At 43.2% G+C, this 20,522-nt stretch overlaps 1 protein-coding gene across 33 annotated transcripts in view, besides 6 other annotated features; it reads right to left on the bottom strand.

The window, feature by feature from the left end:
- INTS10 (integrator complex subunit 10) overlaps positions 1-16,310 on the bottom strand; it is a 34,652-nt gene extending 18,342 nt beyond the window's left edge. For 7 of the 33 annotated variants that reach the window (NR_148456.2, NR_148458.2, XR_007060743.1 and 4 more), the window contains exons 1-12: positions 16,060-16,310; positions 15,384-15,451; positions 14,050-14,153; positions 13,208-13,347; positions 11,206-11,287; positions 10,285-10,425; positions 9,682-9,853; positions 8,754-8,923; positions 7,167-7,300; positions 3,167-3,320; positions 1,616-1,698; positions 405-557 (exon numbers count right to left, since the gene is read on the bottom strand). Coding sequence is in view for 24 of the 33 variants with exons in the window: in NM_001353506.2 (NP_001340435.1) it covers positions 405-557; positions 1,616-1,698; positions 3,167-3,320; positions 7,167-7,300; positions 8,754-8,923; positions 9,682-9,853; positions 10,285-10,425; positions 11,206-11,287; positions 13,208-13,347; positions 14,050-14,153; positions 15,384-15,451; positions 16,060-16,188 (1,530 nt within the window). In the remaining 9 variants the exon portion in view is untranslated. Of the gene's footprint in view, positions 1-404; positions 558-1,615; positions 1,699-3,166; positions 3,324-7,166; positions 7,301-8,753; positions 8,924-9,681; positions 9,854-10,284; positions 10,426-11,205; positions 11,288-13,207; positions 13,348-14,049; positions 14,154-15,252; positions 15,533-16,059 lie in introns of all 33 variants that reach the window. The other 26 variants (XM_047421928.1, NM_001353505.2, NM_001353510.2 and 23 more) reach the window with 15 other exon arrangements.
- Positions 15,370-15,459: an enhancer, noted in NCBI's record as "active region_27062". NCBI's record gives its function as "activates an Ori minimal core promoter by ATAC-STARR-seq in GM12878 lymphoblastoid cells {active_cell/tissue: GM12878}" and the evidence as "EXISTENCE:reporter gene assay evidence [ECO:0000049][PMID:35858748]".
- Positions 15,670-15,759: an enhancer, noted in NCBI's record as "active region_27061". NCBI's record gives its function as "activates an Ori minimal core promoter by ATAC-STARR-seq in GM12878 lymphoblastoid cells {active_cell/tissue: GM12878}" and the evidence as "EXISTENCE:reporter gene assay evidence [ECO:0000049][PMID:35858748]".
- Positions 15,940-16,069: a silencer, noted in NCBI's record as "silent region_18970". NCBI's record gives its function as "represses an Ori minimal core promoter by ATAC-STARR-seq in GM12878 lymphoblastoid cells {active_cell/tissue: GM12878}" and the evidence as "EXISTENCE:reporter gene assay evidence [ECO:0000049][PMID:35858748]".
- Positions 16,260-16,319: an enhancer, noted in NCBI's record as "active region_27060". NCBI's record gives its function as "activates an Ori minimal core promoter by ATAC-STARR-seq in GM12878 lymphoblastoid cells {active_cell/tissue: GM12878}" and the evidence as "EXISTENCE:reporter gene assay evidence [ECO:0000049][PMID:35858748]".
- Positions 16,360-16,439: an enhancer, noted in NCBI's record as "active region_27059". NCBI's record gives its function as "activates an Ori minimal core promoter by ATAC-STARR-seq in GM12878 lymphoblastoid cells {active_cell/tissue: GM12878}" and the evidence as "EXISTENCE:reporter gene assay evidence [ECO:0000049][PMID:35858748]".
- Positions 16,590-16,729: a silencer, noted in NCBI's record as "silent region_18969". NCBI's record gives its function as "represses an Ori minimal core promoter by ATAC-STARR-seq in GM12878 lymphoblastoid cells {active_cell/tissue: GM12878}" and the evidence as "EXISTENCE:reporter gene assay evidence [ECO:0000049][PMID:35858748]".

Raw genomic sequence — 20,522 nt, 5'->3', positions numbered from 1 at the left:
GTGTTATTACCATTTAAAGAGAGAATCTGAAGTTTGAGTAAGCTAAATATAAATCTCCATTTCCCACTTAATAATGGCCTTGTGTTTCCAAGTACAACAGAAGAGACAAGAGTGTAATAATAATAAAAAGAAAAATAATAATAAAAAGAAAAATCCTCCAACAAATGGAACAATGAACAAGAAATGTAAAAAGTACTGATGCCTTATTTCAGGGAAGCTGTAGTAAAGAGAAAATTACGTAAAACAAAATCATTGTGATGTTCACTAGCAGATTAAGTAATAAATCTAGGCAGAAAGATCAAATTGAAATAAACGTGCACTGAATGAAAAGCCACGCTAGGGAAAGGAGAAAGGCCAGGTGGCCCCGTGCACCTGCGGCAGGCATGTATGTGTGCAGTACTCACTCTGTACTCCCCTAGCGCAAAGTGGCACGTCGCCAGCTGGATGAGCGCCCTCTGATGCTCCAGGGTCCCCTGCCCTGTGATCTGTGGCTGAGAAATGGATCCCTGGAGAGCTGCTAAGTGATGCAGGCTGGCTATCGCCTTTTTATATTGACCCTAAGAAAGATAGAATAGCAAGGAGGGGAAAAGCATCGCTGTTAAAAAAAGAAATTTAAAAAATACCGTTCCAGGGTTCACGAAGCAACGAGCAAGCAACTATACAAAGACGGTAGCTTGGTTTGATCATCTGAGGAAGAAACGGAGAATTGGCAATAGAATCAAATCAACTTAATTAAAGCCAGGTGGGAGTTCTTTCTGGCGGTACTTTATAAGGATGAAGATTTTTCTTTCTGGTCTTAGGTCTCGAGACTAAAGAAAATAACCAGGCCCTGTGATCCAGCACATTTGGATATAACATTTCTTTAGAAATATTTTACTACAAGCACCACTTCTCCTTTATGAAGGATGGAAGCAGCAACCTGCCCATTCCGACACCACCTCATTCGTGAATTATCGACTATCTCCATTCAAGGTCTAAGATGCTGGAGAACAGTACAGCCAGGCAGACTCCACCAGCAGAGAGAGGAGGGTGAGAAGTAATCCTCTTTTACCGAAAAGTAAAAATCTTACTTTTACAGAGAGGTGTGATTGGATATACCAAAAGTAACACAGAAGGTACAGGCTTGTCATTTTGGAGTTTTTGTTTCGTTTTGTTTTTGAGACAAGGTCTCACTGTCACCCAGGCTGGGGTGCAGTGGCGCTATCATGGTTCAGTGCAGTCTTGACTTCCTGGGCTCAAGTGATCCTCCCGCCTCAGCCTCCTGAGCAGCTGGAACTATAGGCACATGCCACCACACTTGGCTAAGTTTTTTATTTTGTAGAGACAGGGTCTCACTATGCTGCCAGGGCTAGTCTCGAACTCCTGGGCTCAAGCAATCCTCCCACCTCGGCCTCCCAAAGTGCTGGGATTACAGGCGTAAGCCACGACACCCGGCCGATAGTTACTTTGAAAGGAAAATGGACCATACCCCCTCAGCCACTGAAAACAGAACAGGTGTCAGGAGGCAGTGGACTAGCCCAAGAGGGAACATGACACATTCTGCATAGGAAAGCTGGTTTGCCACCATAGCCATGCTGTACAGACACAGGTACCTAAAATATGTATAATACTCTACCTGATAGATGATCATATCAGTGAGGAAGATTCTTAACCAAAGCCAAGTATCCGTCTTCCAGGCCAAGCAAATCCTTGTAAATTCTGAGTAAGAATTCAAGAACAAATTTACCAAATATATGCAGCAAAGAAGCAGAAAACAAACTAACAAATCCAGTAAGAGAGAAGAGAGACAACCTACCAAAAATGTATAGTAACTTTGACTTTGATTTCTAACACACTGCTCTAGAATTTCAAGTAGAGAAGAAACATACAACACTTATCAGTAATACACAAGCAATATTTTGTAGATGCTAACAACTTACTGAGCACATACCAGGTGCCAAGAACTGTTTAAAGTGCTTTTCATGTATTTCCTCATTTATCTTTTAAGCCACTTTGCTTTCCCCAAAACAAGGTCCCATTTTATTTTTATCTTATTTTTAGAGACATTCTCCCTGTCACCCAGGCTGGCAGTACAGTGGCCCTAACATGGGTCACTGCAGCCTCAACCTTCCGGCCTCAAGCAGTCCTCCTACCTCAGCTTCCTGAATAGCTGGCACTACAGACACATGCCATCACTCTTGGCTAAGTTTTGTTTTTGTTTTTTTATAGAGACGGGGTTTTGCCATATTGCCCAGGTTAGTCTCTAACTCCTGAGCTCAATGATCCACCTGCCTCAGCTTCCCAAAGCACTGGGATTACAGGCATGAGCCATCTTGCCTGGCCCATTTTATTTTGACCTAATTAAAATAACAAACATACAATGACACTAAAAGGTTTTATTCATTTTTAAAAAAATCAATTTCTAACTAAAGGAAAGATCCCCTCCAAAATTGTCACATATGTGTTCACAATCCCAAATGTAACAAAGAGAAACTGAACGGTGCTGAATTTACTTAGAAAAGATGACACAGCACATCTGGCCAAGGGCTCTGTATGACACATGACTGCAGCCAGGGGATGAATGTCCACGGGCTAAAAGTAAAATAAGGGGCCCCGATTCCAAAGTGTAGTAAGAATACCTTAGTTAGCAAACAGCTAGTGATTTCTAAGCAATGTCAAAATACCCAGTATACTCAAAGGAAAATAGGCTTCCTATAGTTTTTGGATTTTGAGTTTTTCAGACAATGGAGTTAATGCAGATAAAAACAGCAATATGGCTGGGCATGGTGGCTCACGCCTGTAATCCCAGCACTTTGGGAGGCCAAGGTGGGCGGATCACGTGGTCAGGAGTTCAAGACCAGCCTGATCAACACGATGAAACCCCGTCTCTACTAAAAATACAAAAAGTTAGCCGGGCATGGTCGCACGTGCCTGTAGTCCCAGCTACGAGGAAGGCTGAGGCAGAAGAACTGTTTGAACCCAGGAGGTGAGCGTTGCAGTGAGCCAAGATAACACCATTGTACTCCGGCCTGGGTGAAAAAGAGTGAGACTCCGTCTCAAAACAAGAAAAAAAAAATGCATGAACTACTGTAATCAACTTAATTTGCCGTAAGTGACCTGACATTTGAAGTAGCGTAATGATTTTATATAAAACATCAAACAGCACCAATGACATGCGCTTTCTTACCTTTGTCAAGGAATTCTAGGGAATAGAGCAACTCCCAGCTCTCCCTGGCCAATTTAAAGCTTTCTAACACTTCAGTGGAGTTAGCAAGTTCGGCTTTATTGACTACAATGTGACGATTTCTTCCTTTCGCCGAACAGTCTTCATCGTCTGAACTCTGCTTAAAGAATGTGGAGAACATGGTTAATTCAGTTATAAATATAGTCATATATGGAAACATATTATTGCTGCCAGTTTGGCCCGTGATATGAATTTTATATCAAAGGATACCACATACATACAATTTTTTTGAATTTAACAATTTAGCTTTGAAAATTAATTTTTTTTTGTCTTTATACTCTCACACATTCCATTTTTACTTCTAAAATTGAGTGAATTTTTTTTCTGATGTTAAATTCTTATGTTTGCTTATGGTGGTTTTAGAGCAAAGTTTAAAAATATCAATTTTATGAAAGTCAAAATTTAGATTTTTACATTGAGAGACACAGCTTAAACAGCACCTGTTTATAGTTTACTTTTTTTTCTAATACGTGACATGATTTAATTGGCTTCCAAATAATGGTTTGGCATGTACTGGGATAAAATTAAAGCCTGGGGCCGGGCGTGGCAGCTTATGCCTATATTCCCAGCACTTCGGGAGGCCGAGGAGGACAGATCACTTAAGGCCAGGAGTTTGAGACCAGCCTGGCCAACATGGCGAAACCCAGTCTCTATTAAAAATACAAAGTCAGCCGGGCATGGTGGCACGTGCCTGTAATCCTAGCTACTCAGGAGGTTGAGACACAAGAATTTCTTAAGCCCGGGAGGCAGAGGTTGCAGTGAGCAGAGACCGCACCACTGCACTCCAGCCTGGGCGACAGAGCAAGACTCTGTCTCAACAACAACAAAATTAAAGCCTGCGTCCTCTAAGAAATAATGTCAGAGAATAACTGTTAGTTATCTTTGGTTCACTGCGCATGACTCCCCTGCACTGGTCACCCCTCTCTCGCTCTCCTCCCCCAGTGCAAGGTCCTGGTCAGAAAGTACATTTGTCTGCACTTACCTAGTAAAGCCCTCTGTATTTTACAATACACATTTCTACTTTTCTTGCTCTTCATCTCAAGTAATATAAAGCCCACAGAAAAGAGAAGGCTACAGAGAAAGGCAATTATTGGAAATACCGCTGGGTAGAGTCAGATGTTTTGCCAAAAAAAAAAATGTAAAGGTAAAAGCAGCTCCACTGAATTTTATTTTGCTAAGAATTTTCTCAATCTTTTAATCCACCTAGGTCATTTTACTGATTTAATAACCCAAATGAAATTCTTCCTGCAGATCTTTACTCCACTAAGATCATTTAAAAATATGTGCAACTACATGTATACATATGTAACAAACCTGCACGTTGTGCACATGTACCCTAGAACTTAAAGTATAATAATGATAAAAGAAAACCTAAAAAATAAATAAATAAATAAAAATATGTGCAACTACTGTCACTAAAAGCTCCAATCCTCAAGCTCATCTCAGGTAAGGTGCGCAGGAAGCTGTCAGCACCTCCCTCCACTGCCCACCTTCCTTTCCACTTTCTGAGCTTGGTATCTTCCTGCTAGTCCCTGTTCTTGGTGACTTTTCCCTACCCCACTGTTCTGCTGCATGTTCTTATCCTCCCTAAGTAATGTTTTTGCATTGGGAAAAACACACCTTTTCCAATCAAAACCTGTCTACCAGGCCAGGTGTAGTGGCTTACCCCTGTAATCCCAGCAATTTTGGAGGCCAAGGTGGGAGGATTGCATGAACCCAGGAATTCAAGAACAGAGTAGGCAACATAGAAAGACCTTGTCTCCACCAAAAAAAAAAAAAACCACAACCGTATCTGCCAGGTACTGTTTCATCAGGGGCCTGTTCTTTGCCAAGTAACGGCAACCTAATATCATACACGAACACACATGGCGCGTCTGCTAGTGCTGCAGCTTACAGAAAACATTCCTGCCTCAACACGAGATCAGGAATTTATGAAAGGACCCCAGATGTGGTGGGACTAGTGTGAGTTCCAAATGTTTTTACATTTAAAGAAACTGATTTTGAAATGTGCAAGTACACTCTGAAGCACTGAGAGCGTGCTCTGAAGCAAGAATGCAGCAGGTGGGGGACAGATGCCCACAGGAGAGGCCTGTCCCAGCACCAGCCATTTATGACGTCACATGAGTCTGTGATGTCAGCTGGCTGGAGAACTGATGTGGGCCACCCCCCAACTCCAGTTGTGGGTTACCACCAGGGGCCAGTGTGATCAGATATCCTAATTACAAAAAGGAAGTCAGAAATCTGGATTGTTATGAGAAATGCTAGGTTTCTATTTTATTTTTTTATTTTTTATAGACGGGGTCTCCCTCTGTTGCTCGGGCTGGAGGGCGGTGGTGTGGTCATCACTCACTGGAACCTTGAACTCCTGAGCTCAAGGGATCTTCTCATCTCAGCCTCTGAAGCAGTTGGGATGATAGGTGCATGCCACCAGCCAGCTAGTTTTTTTTTTCATTTTTTATAGAGACGGGGTCTCACTATATTGCCCAGGTGGGTCTTAAACTCCTGGGCTGGTGATCCTCCTCTTTTGGCCCCCAAAGTGCTGGGATTACAGGCATGAGCCACTGCACCCAGCCTGGTTTCTAATTTTTAAATACTAGGTTATTTAAACAAACAAAACACTGTGAGCAAAGCAAGATATATGTGAGCTGAGCTCATGGGCCTTTAAGGTCTGGACCTGCATCAGGTTGGGGCAGACTCAGGGATAGAATGATAATCAGGACAAAATCAGTTAAGACCATGAAAACAAAAATGGATGGAAATTCCGCATTGGGTAGAAGGCCAGGTTATGAGAACAGGGCTTGCTAGATGAGTGCTTGACAGGCAAAAAAAACCGGAAGGAAGAACCGCTGGACCAGGTTTAAACAGCCATCCCATAGCCTGGACACCAAACCCAGGAGGGATCAATGAGAATTCCCTCCTTCACCAGATGCTCACCACACACCTGCTCCAGCCCAGGCACTACTCAGATGCCCAGGGTATGGTAGAGGACGAGGCAGAGAAAATGCTAGGCCCCACGGAGCTTGTACTCTAGTGAAGGAGGGACAGAGACAGTAAACCAGTCAGTGAATAAACAAGAAAAAACAGACAGCAAGGAGGATGCTGCAGAGAATTAAAAAAGAGGAATAAAAAGAGAGAACCAGACAGCTACTTCAGATGGGTGTTCAGGAGAAGCCTCAGAGGGAGACTCGTTTGGGCTGGGACCAAGTGACAAGGACCTAGCCAGGCAGAGATCCAAGGGAAAAGCACTGTAACCACAGAGCACAGCTTCAACGGGCAGAGGCTGGGAGGCAGGGACGGGCTCGGGGTACTGCCTGGTCAGGTTAGAGGACTGACGATTCTTCACATTCTCGGGCTTCTTGCATCTTTGTGCACACTTTTCCCTCTCAACAAAATCTACCTCCCAATTCCAACTGACAAAACCCTTCGCCTTTCAGCACTGATTTCAAATGTTGACCTCCTTCATGAAATCTTTTCTGCATCTGCCCATAGGCTGTTCCTGCTGCCCTGCCCACCTCAGAGCTTCCCATTCCGAGGCCAGTACCCCACACTGCACCCTGCTCTAGAGGTCCAATGCCATTTTGCTTTTGTTGTTTAAACTGAATCGATGCCATTCAGTCAAAACATGTATAAGGAACATATACCATGGGTTCTCCACCTCATCACTGACCTTTTGGGTGGTCCTGTACACTGTAAAGTGCTCAGCAGCAACCCTGGCCCCTCCCCACCAAGCTGTGACAACCAAAAATGTCTCCAGACATTGCCAAATGTCCCCTGAGGGCAAATCACCTCCAGTGGAGAACCACTGACTTAGTAATTATTAATATATCATACAATTTTAAAACCCAGGCTTTATCGATTTAGCTCCAAAGCCATATTTTACAAAGATTCATCTCTAGCAAAGCGTCCCATCCAATCTGTTAATAAGTATATTTGAAAGCCTTACCATGGTTTTTTCTCTTCCTTCAGCTAGTTTCCTCTTTTTATGGATGTGTTTATTACGATCAATTTCTACATCACCATACACATTCGATACATCTTCAAGAAGAACCAGTGGAACTTGGCTCGGGGCATTAGGACCTAAGGACGGGGAAAAACACCAACACTTACCAGTGCAGCAAGGAGGCCAGGCGCGGTGGCTCATGCCTGCAATCCCAGCCCTTTGGGAGGCTGAGGCAGGAGGATTGCCTGAGCTCGGGAGTTCAAAACCAGCCTGGGCAACATGGCGAAACCCCATCTCTACTAAAAATACAAAACATTAGCCGGGCATGGTAGCATGCGCCTGTTAATCCCGGCTACTCGGGAGGCTGAGGCAGGAGAATTGCTTGAACCCAGGAGGCGGAGGTTGCAGTGAGCCGAGATCACGCCACTGCACTCCAGCCTGGGCGACAGAGCGAGACTTAAAAAATAAATAAAATTAAAAAAAATTTAAAAATGCAGCTAGGAAAAGAATTCTTAAAATAAGGGAGAAGCTTACTCAACTGTCATGAGAAACGTCATTAAAAATACGTTCAGTGTGATCTCAATTAGGTAAACAAACAAGTATATGCACATAGAAAGAAAAGACTGTACAGATATATACCAAATTGTTAAAGATTCCCTGTCACTAATAGAATACAAGTGACGGTTCCTTCTTTGTATTTGTTATGTATCTGCACTTTTTATAATGATCATGAGTCATTAAAGTACCATAAAAGACTACCAAATTATACTTACATTATGGTTACAAATTCCAAACAAAATCTAAATATATGTAATATTATAAGGCAATACGTAAAAACGACCGCTGTATTATACTGGAAGGATTGTGGGTGATTTCACTCTTATTTCTATTTTTCAAATTTTCTACAGTATATTTATGCATATACTCTCTATATATAAAATGGATATTTTACTAAATAAATCTTTGCCTCTTGTGATGTCTTCATGAAATCTACTTAAATATGTTGTTACATCTGCTGTTTTTTTCTTTTTTTTTTTTGAGATGGAGTCTTGCTCTGTCACCCAGGCTGGAGTGCAAGGTGCGACCTCAGCTCACTGCAGCCTCTGCCTCCCGGGTTCAGGCGATTCTCCTGCCTCAGGTTCCCAAGTAGCTGGGATTACAGGTGCCTACAATCATGCCCAGCTAATATTTGTATTTTTAGTAGAGATGGGGTTTTACCATATTGGCCAGGCTGGTCTCAAACTCCTGACCTCAAGTGATTCACCGGCCTCACCTGCCAAAGTGCTGGGATTACAGGTGTGAGCCACAGCGCCCAGCCTGCTGTTATTTTCAAAATAGTGGCATTTGATATCTCTTTTTAGTTGTGCAGTACCATTACGCCCTTTGATATAGAAACTTTTAATGAAATATACTTACATAAAAACTACCAATTAAGCCAAACTAAACAAAACTAAATCGCCAACTATAAAAAGGACTGGTACTGCCCCACAGTTATTCGGATCCAGCAATACTGGATAAACACTTTCATTTTCCTTACCATCCCCACAGTATGAACTGGCTTTTTGGACACTCTAAAATTTGTAAACCAACCTTGGAAGAGAGATGGCTGTATGCTGTTGACATACTGGAATGCATTCTTAAAGAAGACCAGCATGGTGGAATACACCACTTGGTTTTTATATTTTGCATGTGCTTCACTATCAAAGTTGTTCATGTATCTGCAGAGATCCTTCATTCTATGCAAAATATCTCCATAGCTTCTAAAAAGGAAGGAATGATGAAACTTATTTGATTACTCTGGGCTGGTCAGCAAGAAGTCTAGAGAAAAGCTCTGGTGGTACCATTACATGTACCAAATGTTGCCCTAGGCATGTAAAACTATTCTTTATTGTCCAATATAAATGGTAACTTTTCCCTTCTGAATTAGGGTGGTGATCAAGATTTCATGACACAAACATGCTAAGTAGCTTCTCTTTTCTCTGAAGTATCTAGGAGACGTTCAAACACAACATCGTCTTAAGAGTTCATATTTCAGTTAGAAATCTGTTTTTCTTTTTTTTTTTCTTTTTTAGAGACAGGGTCTCACTCTGTCACCCAGGCTGGATTGCAGTGGTGTGATCTTGGCTCATCGTAGCCTCCACGTCCTGGGTTCAAGTGATTTTCTCACCTCAGCCTCCCGAGTAGCTGGGACTACAGGCACGCATCACCTCGCCTGGCTAATTTTTGTATTTTTAGTAGAGATGGGGTTTCACCATGTTGGCTAGGCTGGTCTCGAACTCCTGACCTCAAGTGATCTGCCCACCTCAGCCTCCCAAAGCACTGGGATTACAGATGTGAGCCATTGTGCCCAGTCAGAAATGTTTTGATAAAATGAAAAACCATCCTCTTTTGCATTGAGTGTCACAAAATTTGCCCAAAAACTATACCTACGCATTACACAGATTTAAAAAGCATGATTTTGTTTTTATAAGGATCCAAAAGAATCAATAGGCAATTCTGGAAATAAGCTATTTATTACCGTCTTCCTTTATCCATCTGCCATTCACATCTCATTCCAACAACATTCAAAATCTTAAACAACCTCTCCCAAGGGTCCACGATCTGGGATGATTTTTCCGTCAGCCCTTCTATTATGTACTTCTGAGAGCTACGTTTGCTAGGTGACATTAAATCAGATGTATCCTGGGCGCCTGAGATGTAAGAAAAAAGTAGCCTACAATTAACATTATGACTTACTGTTGACATGGTACCTGATAAAGAAAGTCTGACTCCCCATGAAAATGCACAGAGCACAGAATTCCAACATACTTATGTTTTGCTCAAGGACCGACAAGAGGCCACTGGTATAAGCAAGAAGTAATTTCCACTACTTCATCATGGTACATTTGTAATGTTCCATGCAATAACATTACAGCTCAGCCAGAAGACTGTTTTGATCAAGGGGTGGCATTGCTTCCAGAAAAGCCTCATCTTTTAGTATTTTTTTTCTAGATACCATCTTTTGAAACACTCCCAAACTGGTAAGTATCCAGAGGAGAATAATCAGAACATTGAGGGGTTTCTGAATTTTGCAATATTACTAAAGCCTATTTAAGTAAAAGTACAGGGTATTCCTACTTACCTTGATGCTGATTTTCTATTTGAGTAGACCTAGTGACATAATTGATATAAAATTCAGCTGCTTTGTTCAAGTACTTATACAATAAATTGGCAGGTAATCGAACATCATGGTTGTTAATTATTAGAGGAAGGACATCACAAACTGTTGGAGGAGAAAAAGAAGAAATAAATTAATTAGGTTGTCTACCCTAGAGTTCCGATAAATACAAAAGCTTTCAGAGTTCATTTGATGTAGTATCTAAAATATATAGGGGGAAAAATCCCTTATGACTCATGTATTCAAAATGTGCTGTGCAGAGAGACACCAGTGGCTGGAGTCAGGGAGGAAACACAGACACTTTTATGCTGTGGGTGAGGGTCCAGTTCTTCCATTGAATTCAGATGTTTATTACTATGCTTCATACTTACATATACAGCTATGCATATTCTTTCAGAGGTATCAAATCTTACATAACAAAAGTTTAGAAGTTGTTTAAAATGCTTTTTTTTTTTTTGAGACAGAGTCTCACTCAGTCACCAGGTTGGAGTACAGTGGCGCGATCTCGGCTTACTGCAACCTCCGCCTCCCAGTTTCAAGCGACTCTCCTGCCTCAACCTCCGTAGTAGCTGGGACTACAGGCGTGCGCCACCATGCCCAGCTAATTTTTGTATTTTTAGTAGAGACAGGTTTTCACCATGTTGGCCAGGATGGTCTCGATCTCTTGACCTCGTGATCCACCCACCTTGGCCTCCTTAAGTGCTAGGATTACAGGCGTGAGCCACCGCACCCAGCTAAAATGCTTCTAAATTAAAAAAAAAAGAACTTAAATGCCATAACACATAAAGCTCCTTTGCCTTTCATATATGAGCTTATCCCTGAACCAACACTTACCCCAGCATATTAATTTACCATAGAAGTAATAGAGAATACAATTTTCCTTACCAAATAATTTTCTAAAGCAGTTCACTGGAGATTCTTGTTCTTCAATAGTTTCAGCCTCTAATAGTGCCTCCCCAAGGCCAACCTATTTCAAAACAAAATTACTCATTTAAATGTGTTACAGCATAAGTTGTCAGAACTATATGAAGTAATGGGGTATTTTTTTTACTTATCACAGTTTGCATAATCAAACTTATCTGAGAAACAAATAATCACATTTTAAAGACTGGAAAATAAAAGAATGCACCAGCCACACACCCTAGAAGGCCAAATTCACCTGAACATCTGACCACTCTGTCTTGGTTATTCTCTTCATAATTAGCAAATTCTAATTAACGATGAACAAGAATTAACAAAATGTCTATAGAAATGTAAAGGAAGCAATGGAACTGGAGTTCAAATGATAATACAGAGGTAGAGAGATTTTCTAAGAAATAAAGAAACTAAGGTTATTCTCTACATGAAGATGTATCAATATAGACAAAACGTATCACGTTCAAGATAAGTTCTGAGGTGTAGCCAGTCATACAGTCTGGTGTAGAATGGACAGAAAAGTCAGAGTTTTAAGGCTACCTTTCCATTACCAATGCCTTAGCATAGTAGACGGTCCCTTACTCAAATCCACCAAGACACTGGTATCAACTTCCTTGTGACCACACAGGGATGCACCACAGGAGTGGAAAAGTGCGAAAGATTACATCACACAGAAGGTGAAAGGTCAGAGTTATGACCAGAAAGTGTGCTGGGCTGAACAGTGCCCCCCCAAATTCATATCCCCGCAGAACCTCAGAATGTGACCTCATAGACATCTTACCTTTTTTTTTAAAAAAAGTATCTTTGTAGATATAATTAATTAAGATGAGGTCATGGTGGATTAGAAAGGCCCTCAATCCAATGACTAGTGTCCTTATAACATGGCCATGTACACACACCTGTAATCCCAGCTACTCAGGAGGCTGTGGCATGAGAATTGGTAGAACCCAGGAGGCAGAGGATGCAGTGAGCCAAGATCATGCCACTGCACTGCTGCCTGGGCAACGGAGCAAGACTCTGCCTCAAAAAACAACGACAAAAAAGGCCATGTAAAGACAAAGGCACAAAAGAAAGAAGATCATGTGGTGATGGAGCAGAAATTGGAGGAGTGATGAAGCTGCCTGCCAGGGAATGCCAAAGATTGCTGACAACCATCAGAAGCCAGGGAGAGGTAAAGAAAGATTCTTCCCCAGAACCTTCAGAGGGAAAGTGCCTCTGCCAACACCTGACTTTTAGACTTCTAGCTTCCAGAATTGTGGGAGTCCTTCTGTTGTTTTAAGCTACCCAGTTTGTAGTACTTTGTTATGGCAACCCTAGGAGACTAACACAAGCAGGTATGGAAATGATTAACCCGGGCCAGACGCCAGAAAATGGCATGGGAAATAAGCCGCAGAGTATGAACGAATGGAGTGAATGGTTTGAAACCTGACACCTCACTGGCTATGGGAAGTTACTAAAACACAAAATGCTCAGTTTCGTCATCTGTAAAGTGGGATACTATTTACTTCAGGGGATTTAGGAAGATAGGAGATACCTAGCACTTTCCCATGCCTGCCAATAGCACTCGATAATTATTACAGATGAAGGAAAGGGGCAGGAATAGAATGAAAATAGTCTCCATAGGGCAGAAGCACAGGAAAAACGCATCTGTTAAGACTATAAACTCTACGCTAAATTCAAAAGCACATTGTAGAATACAACGGAAAAAGATTACTTTTTACCATATGGATTGCAATAAACAGTACTGTCAGAGCTTGGTGATTTTCCTGATAAAACAGCTTCTCCTGGAAACTTACAAAATATGGTGAAAAGAATGTCCTTTTAGCTTTACTAACAAAGAACCTTCTATTTCAGTTCAATCTTAACCAGTACTCTTCAGAAACTTCTGCTTTGTAGCTCCTCACCATACCGATGAATCTGTTGATGACCCATTGTATTTTATATTAAAAGAAGGGGAAGAATCAAATCTCACCCCATGCTGCACCACCGTTTCAGGGAAGCGCCTCAAAAGTAGAAGCAACATTTCTGATCGTTCTAACGTGTTGAAGCATTGTTCCGTGACCTTTAGTAACATTTCACACTGGACCCGACCAGGAAGAGTTTCAAATAAACCTGTACGAAACATATTTCACTTTTAAAAGTTTCTTGCGGACAGAAAAGACTGCAGCAACAGTGCTGAGTAAGGCATTTTCATGTACAGAACAGTAAACACTACATGTGAAATCAATGCAGTTAAGTTTCACCTACAACCTGGCAGCCTTTTGGAGCCAATAGTATCTGGCACAGGATGTTTGCTGAATAATGGTAAAATATTTGCAAGACTGATCAAATTCAAAAAACAATGATGTATGTGAATGGTCACAAGAATGCCTGTTGCAGGTTGAGATAGAGAGCATGTGCTTGTTGAAGTTCAAATGACCTATGCATCTACTTGCTATTTTATCTAGAGTTTGAAATCTTTGATTGACTACAGCAACATACAGAAGTTTAAAGAGAAAGCTTCTAAATTACTAAAAGCTTCTCTCCTGTTTTGTGGAGAGCTGGTTAATCTATAGCTGCTATCTGGTTATTGTAAAACCTGTTAAAAATATATACAATTAATTCCTCGTCTCACTGATAAATCCATATCCTTTAAAGAAGCTTAAAGGGTTCTAAGCAAGTCAAGGAACCGAGTGACATTATTATAGACTTTGGTTGCCAAGAATAAAACATACATATGGTTACCAATACCCCAGGTGTGACTTTTTTGTGTGTGAAATTACTATATATGATTTGGTATTCCCGAAATGGTAACTTATACACCATTATTCTTACTTCTTAAAAATTGGGTTTGTTTGTCCTGTGAATCGTTCCTTAATGCTGATGTAATAATGCTGATTTCTCTCCACACCACCGGCTGGTCTGGGAAATTCACAAACCTATTTTTAAAATAAATACATTAAATTAAAATGTCAAAGTCTATACAGTATCCAAAAGAAAAAACGTTAGCATTTGGTGAAAAAGTTTCCTTTATTCCAAGTGAATGCTTAGACGTGCCAAAACAAACCAAAATAAAAATGTAAAAATAAGAATTACTTGATTTATAAAAATGAGAGTACTCACATAAGTCTTTAGTGGGTTTTATAGGTGAAAAGACAAGTAACCATAACATAGAAAGAGCTTCTAAAAGTCAACAAGAATAAAACAAACTATTTGAAAGAAAAAATAGGCAAAGGCAAATCACAGAATACACACAGCCAAAGAGAACAGTTGAAACAATACTGAATCTTATTAACAGTATGAGTAGTACAAATTTTTTTTTAAAATAGCAAGATACCATTTTCTCCTATCACAGTGACAAGAACTAAAAAGAGACTAATAATATCCAGTGTTGGGAAGGGTATGGGAAAACACACTCTTTATACACCATTGGTGGTAATGTAGACTGGGATCGCACATTTTGGAGAGTAATTTCATAGCGTATCAAATTTTCAAATGCGCATAAACTTTGACTATGAAAATGTCTTAGAATCTATTCCACAGAAAAACACCAAAATATGACTACAAAATTGTTGACACACTGAATATAATTTCAAATAATTTAAAACTATCTATTTAAATGTCTACCAAGAAGAGAGTGTCTACGAAATACTACACAGGCATGAAAAGGAATGAAGTGGATCTCTACATACTGATATGGGAAGGGGTCCATGAGAGTGAGTAAAGGAAACATGCTGCAGGGCAAAGGTAGTATGGTCTTCTCACTTTTGTAACCCCTTCCCCCCAAAACCTTATTTATGTATTATGCATACATGTATAGATATACTGCCTACAAAACTTAACTCTGGTTCAGTTTAGGATGCACTTTCACTTTTTGTTCTCTATAACAAGTAGTGTTTGAATTTTTGTAATGAGCACATATTATTTCTAGAATAAATTATGAAACAGAAGTTTTAACAAGGATAAAACATAAGAATAATAATTAAACTCTTCTGCAAAAGCCATGTCAGCAATTTATGGCAGGCCTGGACTCCTTACTAGGTTTGCTTTAGGTATCGAAGATATAGATGAACTTGAAGATCTTCCCCCAACTCCCACTTCTGCAGAGAGAAACAAAACCTCATGGAGAGATTCAGTGCAGTAAAAGTGATGTCAAGCGTCCCACTCACATGTCGTACAGCAGCCTCCCGGCGGTGGCGGTCCGCTCTGCATTCCGCTCGATGGTGTACATCTCATACTGCAACACACATCAGGCACCCTGGTCACTCACCCCTGCCCAGAAGGCTCCCAGCTCATCCAGCATCGCTCGTTGGCCCTCCTGCAGGAAGGGAGGGCCTGAGAGTGAAGCTCCGCCTGGTGACACAGCGCCACATACATGGCAGACTTGCCATTGGGCTTAGAGTGTGACCCTGGGGTTCACCTGCAATCTCAGGCTCCCAGGATTAAGTAGGATAATATTTCCAAAGTCGCAGGCCCTGAACAAACTGCTGCCATTATGATGAATGAAGGAGCGAATGGCCTTTTGCTAGTGGCGATCATGTGCTGTCTAGGCCAGATGGCACGCTGAGCCCCAGGGACCTAAGCACACCCGACCTCAAGCGGGATCGGCCGTCTCTCAAGTGCTGGGGAGAGGGCTCCTGGAAGGTGTAGGAGCAAGGCGGGTGAAAGGTGTAGGAGCAAGGTGTAGGATGGGAGGGGAGAGAGGAGGGGGTGGGAGGGGAGAAAGCAGGGGGCCGGGCAGGAGGCGGCAGCCCCCAGGCAGGCGCAGCTCTGGGCCAGGGCAGCCCGGGCGACGGGAGCGCGCACCTCCACGCAGAGCGGCCGCATGCACAGCCGGGACCTCACCTGGATGTTAAAGTCTGCCGGGTAGAGGCTGCGGGCCGTGATCAGCCACGCCTTGGCTGCCCACAGGTCTTGCGGCACCAACTCCCGGGCTCGCTGCACCAGGAACTCGCAGTCCCCCTGGGCAGACATGACCCGAGCGCTCTCCAGCCGCCAGCCCGAAGCGGCCGGAACGTCCGGCTCTGGACTCTCAGCCGCCACGGCAGCCACCGCCGCCGCCGCCGCCACCGCGGGGGAGGCTACTGCGCATGTCTGGAGGCGCACGGAGGCTGGCAGAGTGGATCGGGAAAGCTTTTCCGGGTTTTGCGAGCAGTCTCCTCCCCTTGGCTCCTCGTTACCGCCCGGTCCCCTCCTCTTCTGAGAAGCCAGAGCAGTTGAACCGCTTCCAGGTCACCTCGAAAATGCGGAGAAGTGGATTTTCATTCCTGCGGGCTGCAGCGTGACCTTGGTGAAGTCAGGGAGCATGCGCGGGAGCGGGCAGGCGCCAGGCCTCTTCGCCATTTCCATCCTCTCTGGGTATTGCTCAGTTTGTCGGGGGCGGGGGCGGAGGCGGGGGCGGGGAGACGGGCGGTCCCGGGGAATGGGCGGTCCCTGGGCGTCCCCCCGGCGTGGAAGGTTGAGAAGAAGTTTGAGAGGAACAGCAGAGGGTCGGGGAGGCGGCGGGAAGCACTCTCCACCCGGGCCGGCCTGAAACACCTTCCCCGGGGGCCGCTGCCTGCGACTCACTCCCCGGGCTTCGATTTACGCGAAAACTCCTGGGGCTGGTGGGGGTGATCGTGCAAAGCGTGAGCTCCGGGGTTCCTTCTCTTTCCGAAATCCGTCCACGTTTTATTATTTCACCTTTATGCACCGGTTTCTCCAACAAACGTTTATTGAGCAACGAAGTACTTGGAAAGCGCTTTGGTGGATGCCGTCCGTGGGAGCTGCAAAGATGACTAAAACCCTGACCCAGCAAGGGTTTTATATGTTTTAAATGTTCTGGACGTGAAACCCACAGAAAGATAACTACGCTATTATTATAATTATCTCCTCCAGCCACAATCAATGTCCTTTTCACCAAAACTCCAGATTTGTTTTCCATCTAAGAGATGAAAAACATCTAGGAGATTCTCCATCTAAGAGATTCTCTTGCCTCAGCCTCTCGAGTGGCTGGGATTACAGGCGTCCACCACGACGCGCTAGCCCGGCCAATTTTTGTATTTTTAGTAGAGACGGGGTTTCACCATGTTGGCCAGGCTGGTCTGGAACTCCCGACCCCAGGTGATCCGCCCTCCTTCGCCTCCCAAAAGTGCTGAAATTACAGGCATGAGCCACCGTGCTGGGCTTCGAAGCACTGTTTAATATCTCCTACTTATGCACAGAACAGCATAACTGTATGATTACTTTATGGGCCAGGATTACTCAGTGATACAGTTATTTTGGGTTTGTAGAATAGAAGATGGTAGAAAATTGGATTTAAACGGAGTAGGATAATTTTTATGTTATAAAGTGTACAGCATAAAAGCAGATTGCTAGCTTGAATTGTTAAAATTATTTCATTGATGTTAATATATGAAGTGTAAGAATTTTCAAATGGTAAAAATGACTGATTTGGTCATTAAACTTTCTGGTTTTGGTCTTTACCAAAAATAAAAAAACAACTCCACACTTGTTCCTGAGCCTAGTGTTCTGTGGAATAACAATTGTAAATTAAGATTTTAAATTTAGAGGCTAAATAAGGAAATTCTGTTTTTGTTTGTTTGTTTGTTTTTGAGACACAGTCTTGCTCTGAAATCCAGACTGCCAGTGAGTGCAGCAGCTCGATCATGGATCACTGCAGCCTTGACCTCCCAGGCTCAAGCCATCCTCCTGTCTCAGCCTGTGGAGTAGCTGGGACTACAGGTGTGTGCCACCACATCTGGCTAATTTTAAATTTTTTTGTAGAGACACAGTCTCCCTATGTTGCTCAGGCAGTTCTTGAACTCCTGGGCTCAAGTGATCCTCCTGCTTCAGCCTCCCAAAGTGCTCGGATTACAGGCATGAGCCATTGCGCCCAGCCTCTGTATGTATTTTAGATGCCAACCTTGAGAGGGCCTCTAGACTTTTTGCCAGAATACAACGTAAGGTTTGTGGTTATTTTCTAGTCAGCTTCTTGATTTTGAATGGTCCCCAGCTAAACATTTCTCCTACAGTGTTATGCTGGCATCTCAAAGTACAGAAGGGAGGTAACACACCAAGTGAGTTTACATCTTTTGGCCTCCTTGCCATGATCTTGACTCACTGGAGACTTGAGGCGCCTAGCTCATGTTCTTCTCCATGACAACTTTTTTTTTTTTTTTTTTAAAGACGAGTTTTGCTCTTATTGTCCAGGCTAGAGTGCAGTGGCACAATCTCAGCTCACTGCAACCTCTGCCTTCCGGTTTCGAGTGATTCTACTGCCTCAGCATCCCAAGTCGCTGAGATTACAGGCGCCAGCCACCATGCCCAGCTAATTTTTTTTTTGTATTTTCAGTAGAGACGGGGTTTCACCATGTTGATCACGCTGGTCTTGAACTGCTGACCTCGTGATCCACCCACCTCGGCCTTCCAAAGTGCTGGGATTACAGGTGTGAACCACCACGCCGGCCCTTGACAACTTCTAAGTCACATAAAATGCCCTGCATCCAGCACCCGGCTTCAATTTCCGTGAGCTCAGTTCAGTGATCTGAATTAAACTCTACATTGCTTTTCCCCTTCCACTTCAAAATCTTCAAACTCCAAGTTTCCTCACATAACCTCTTAACTTCCCTGCCCTCAACTCTCTCCTTGGTTCTTTTTAATAATTTCCTCCTTTCCCTTCTCCCTGATTTTACCTTCATGGGCCTCTATCCCCTTGACACCTACATTTTCCCCTAAGTGCATCTGCCACCCTTTGGGCTTATTCCTCTCCCACTCATGCTAAACCCTGTGCTCAGACATTCAATATGTTCATGTCTTTGCCTTCTTATCCTGCCACTGTATCCACTATTTTTTTTTTTTTTTTTGAGACAGAGTCTTGCTCTCTCGTCCAGGCTGGAGTGCTGTGGCGCAATCTCAGCTTACTGCAACCTCCTCATCCTCGGTTCAAGTCATTCTTGTGCCTCAGCCTACCGAGTAGCTGAGATTACAGGCACAAGCCACCACACACGGCTAATTATTGTGTTTTTAGTACAGACAAGTTTTCGCCATGTTGGCCAGGCTGGTCTCAAACTCCTGGCCTCAAGCCATCCACCCTCCTCAGCATCCCAAACTGCTGGCATTACGGGTATGACCCACCGCACCCGGCCCTTAAACTCCAAGTTTGAATACCACAGCCCTATTTATCTTTCAAGACTGTACATCTGGTCATATATGTGTTTTTGTTTTGTTTTGCGTTGTGTTGTTTTTAAACAGTGTCTTTCTCTGTCACTCAGGCTGGAGTGCAGTGGCACGATCATGGCTCACTGCAGCTTCAACTTCCAGGCCCAAGCAATCCTCCCAGCTTAGCCTCCCAAGTAGCTGGGACTACAGGCGTGTGCCACCACACTTGGCTAATTTTTTAATTTTTTGTAGCAATAGGGTCTGATAATATTGCCTAGGTTGGTCTTGAACTCCTAAGCTCAAGCAATCCTCCTGCATAGGCCTCCCAAAGTGATGGGATTACAGGTATGAGCCAGCACAATGGGCCCAGATAAGTATTCTTTTTTTTTTTTTTTTTTTTTTTTTTTTGAGAGGGAGTCTCGCTCTGTCACCCAGGCTGGAGTGCAGTGGCATGACCTCAGCTCACTGCAACCTCTGCCTCCCAGGCTCAAGTGATTCTTCTGGCTCAACCTCCCGAGTATCTGGGACTACAGCCTTGCGCCAACACACCGGGCTAATTTTTGAATTTTAGTAGAGACAGAGTTTCACCATGATGGACAGGCTGCTCTGGAACTGCTGACCTCAAGTGATGCGCTCACCTCAGCCTCCCGAAGTGCTGGGATTACAGGCATGAGCTAACACGCCTGGCCTGTATATGTATTCTTAAAAACCCTTTGATGGTTTATAATTGTGCTTCCATGGGGTTTGCAGCTAGCTCTCTGCCCCATCATTTGCTAGGAGCCTCCACCCAGAAATGCTTTCAGTTCTTCAATGTAGTATGTTCTTTGTCGTTTCCACACATTCATGTGTACTATTCGCTAATATCACCTCTGTCCTGCCTAGAACACTGCCCCCTGCTGGTCTCGTTGGGCTAATTGAATTTCAGATAACACTTCTCAGGGAAACCTATTCTGCCCCTACCTCCCCGTTCCCCCAGTCCTTACGCTGTTTCATAACTGATGGTTTACCAGACAGTAAGCTCCATCAGGACATGGACCTGACCTGTCTTTTATGCTGTGGCTTTCCCAGCCCCTAAAACATGCCTGACACTTATTGATAGTAGGCTAGCAATAAAATTTAGGTGAATTTTAAATGTCTTGGCCCTTCCCTACAAATGTACATAAAGCCTC

Source organism: Homo sapiens, chromosome 8 (assembly GCF_000001405.40).
Source record: "Homo sapiens chromosome 8, GRCh38.p14 Primary Assembly".
Lineage (NCBI taxonomy): Eukaryota > Metazoa > Chordata > Mammalia > Primates > Hominidae > Homo > Homo sapiens.
Note: the sequence above shows the minus strand (reverse complement) of the source record. Positions and strands in the feature narration are given on the sequence as shown.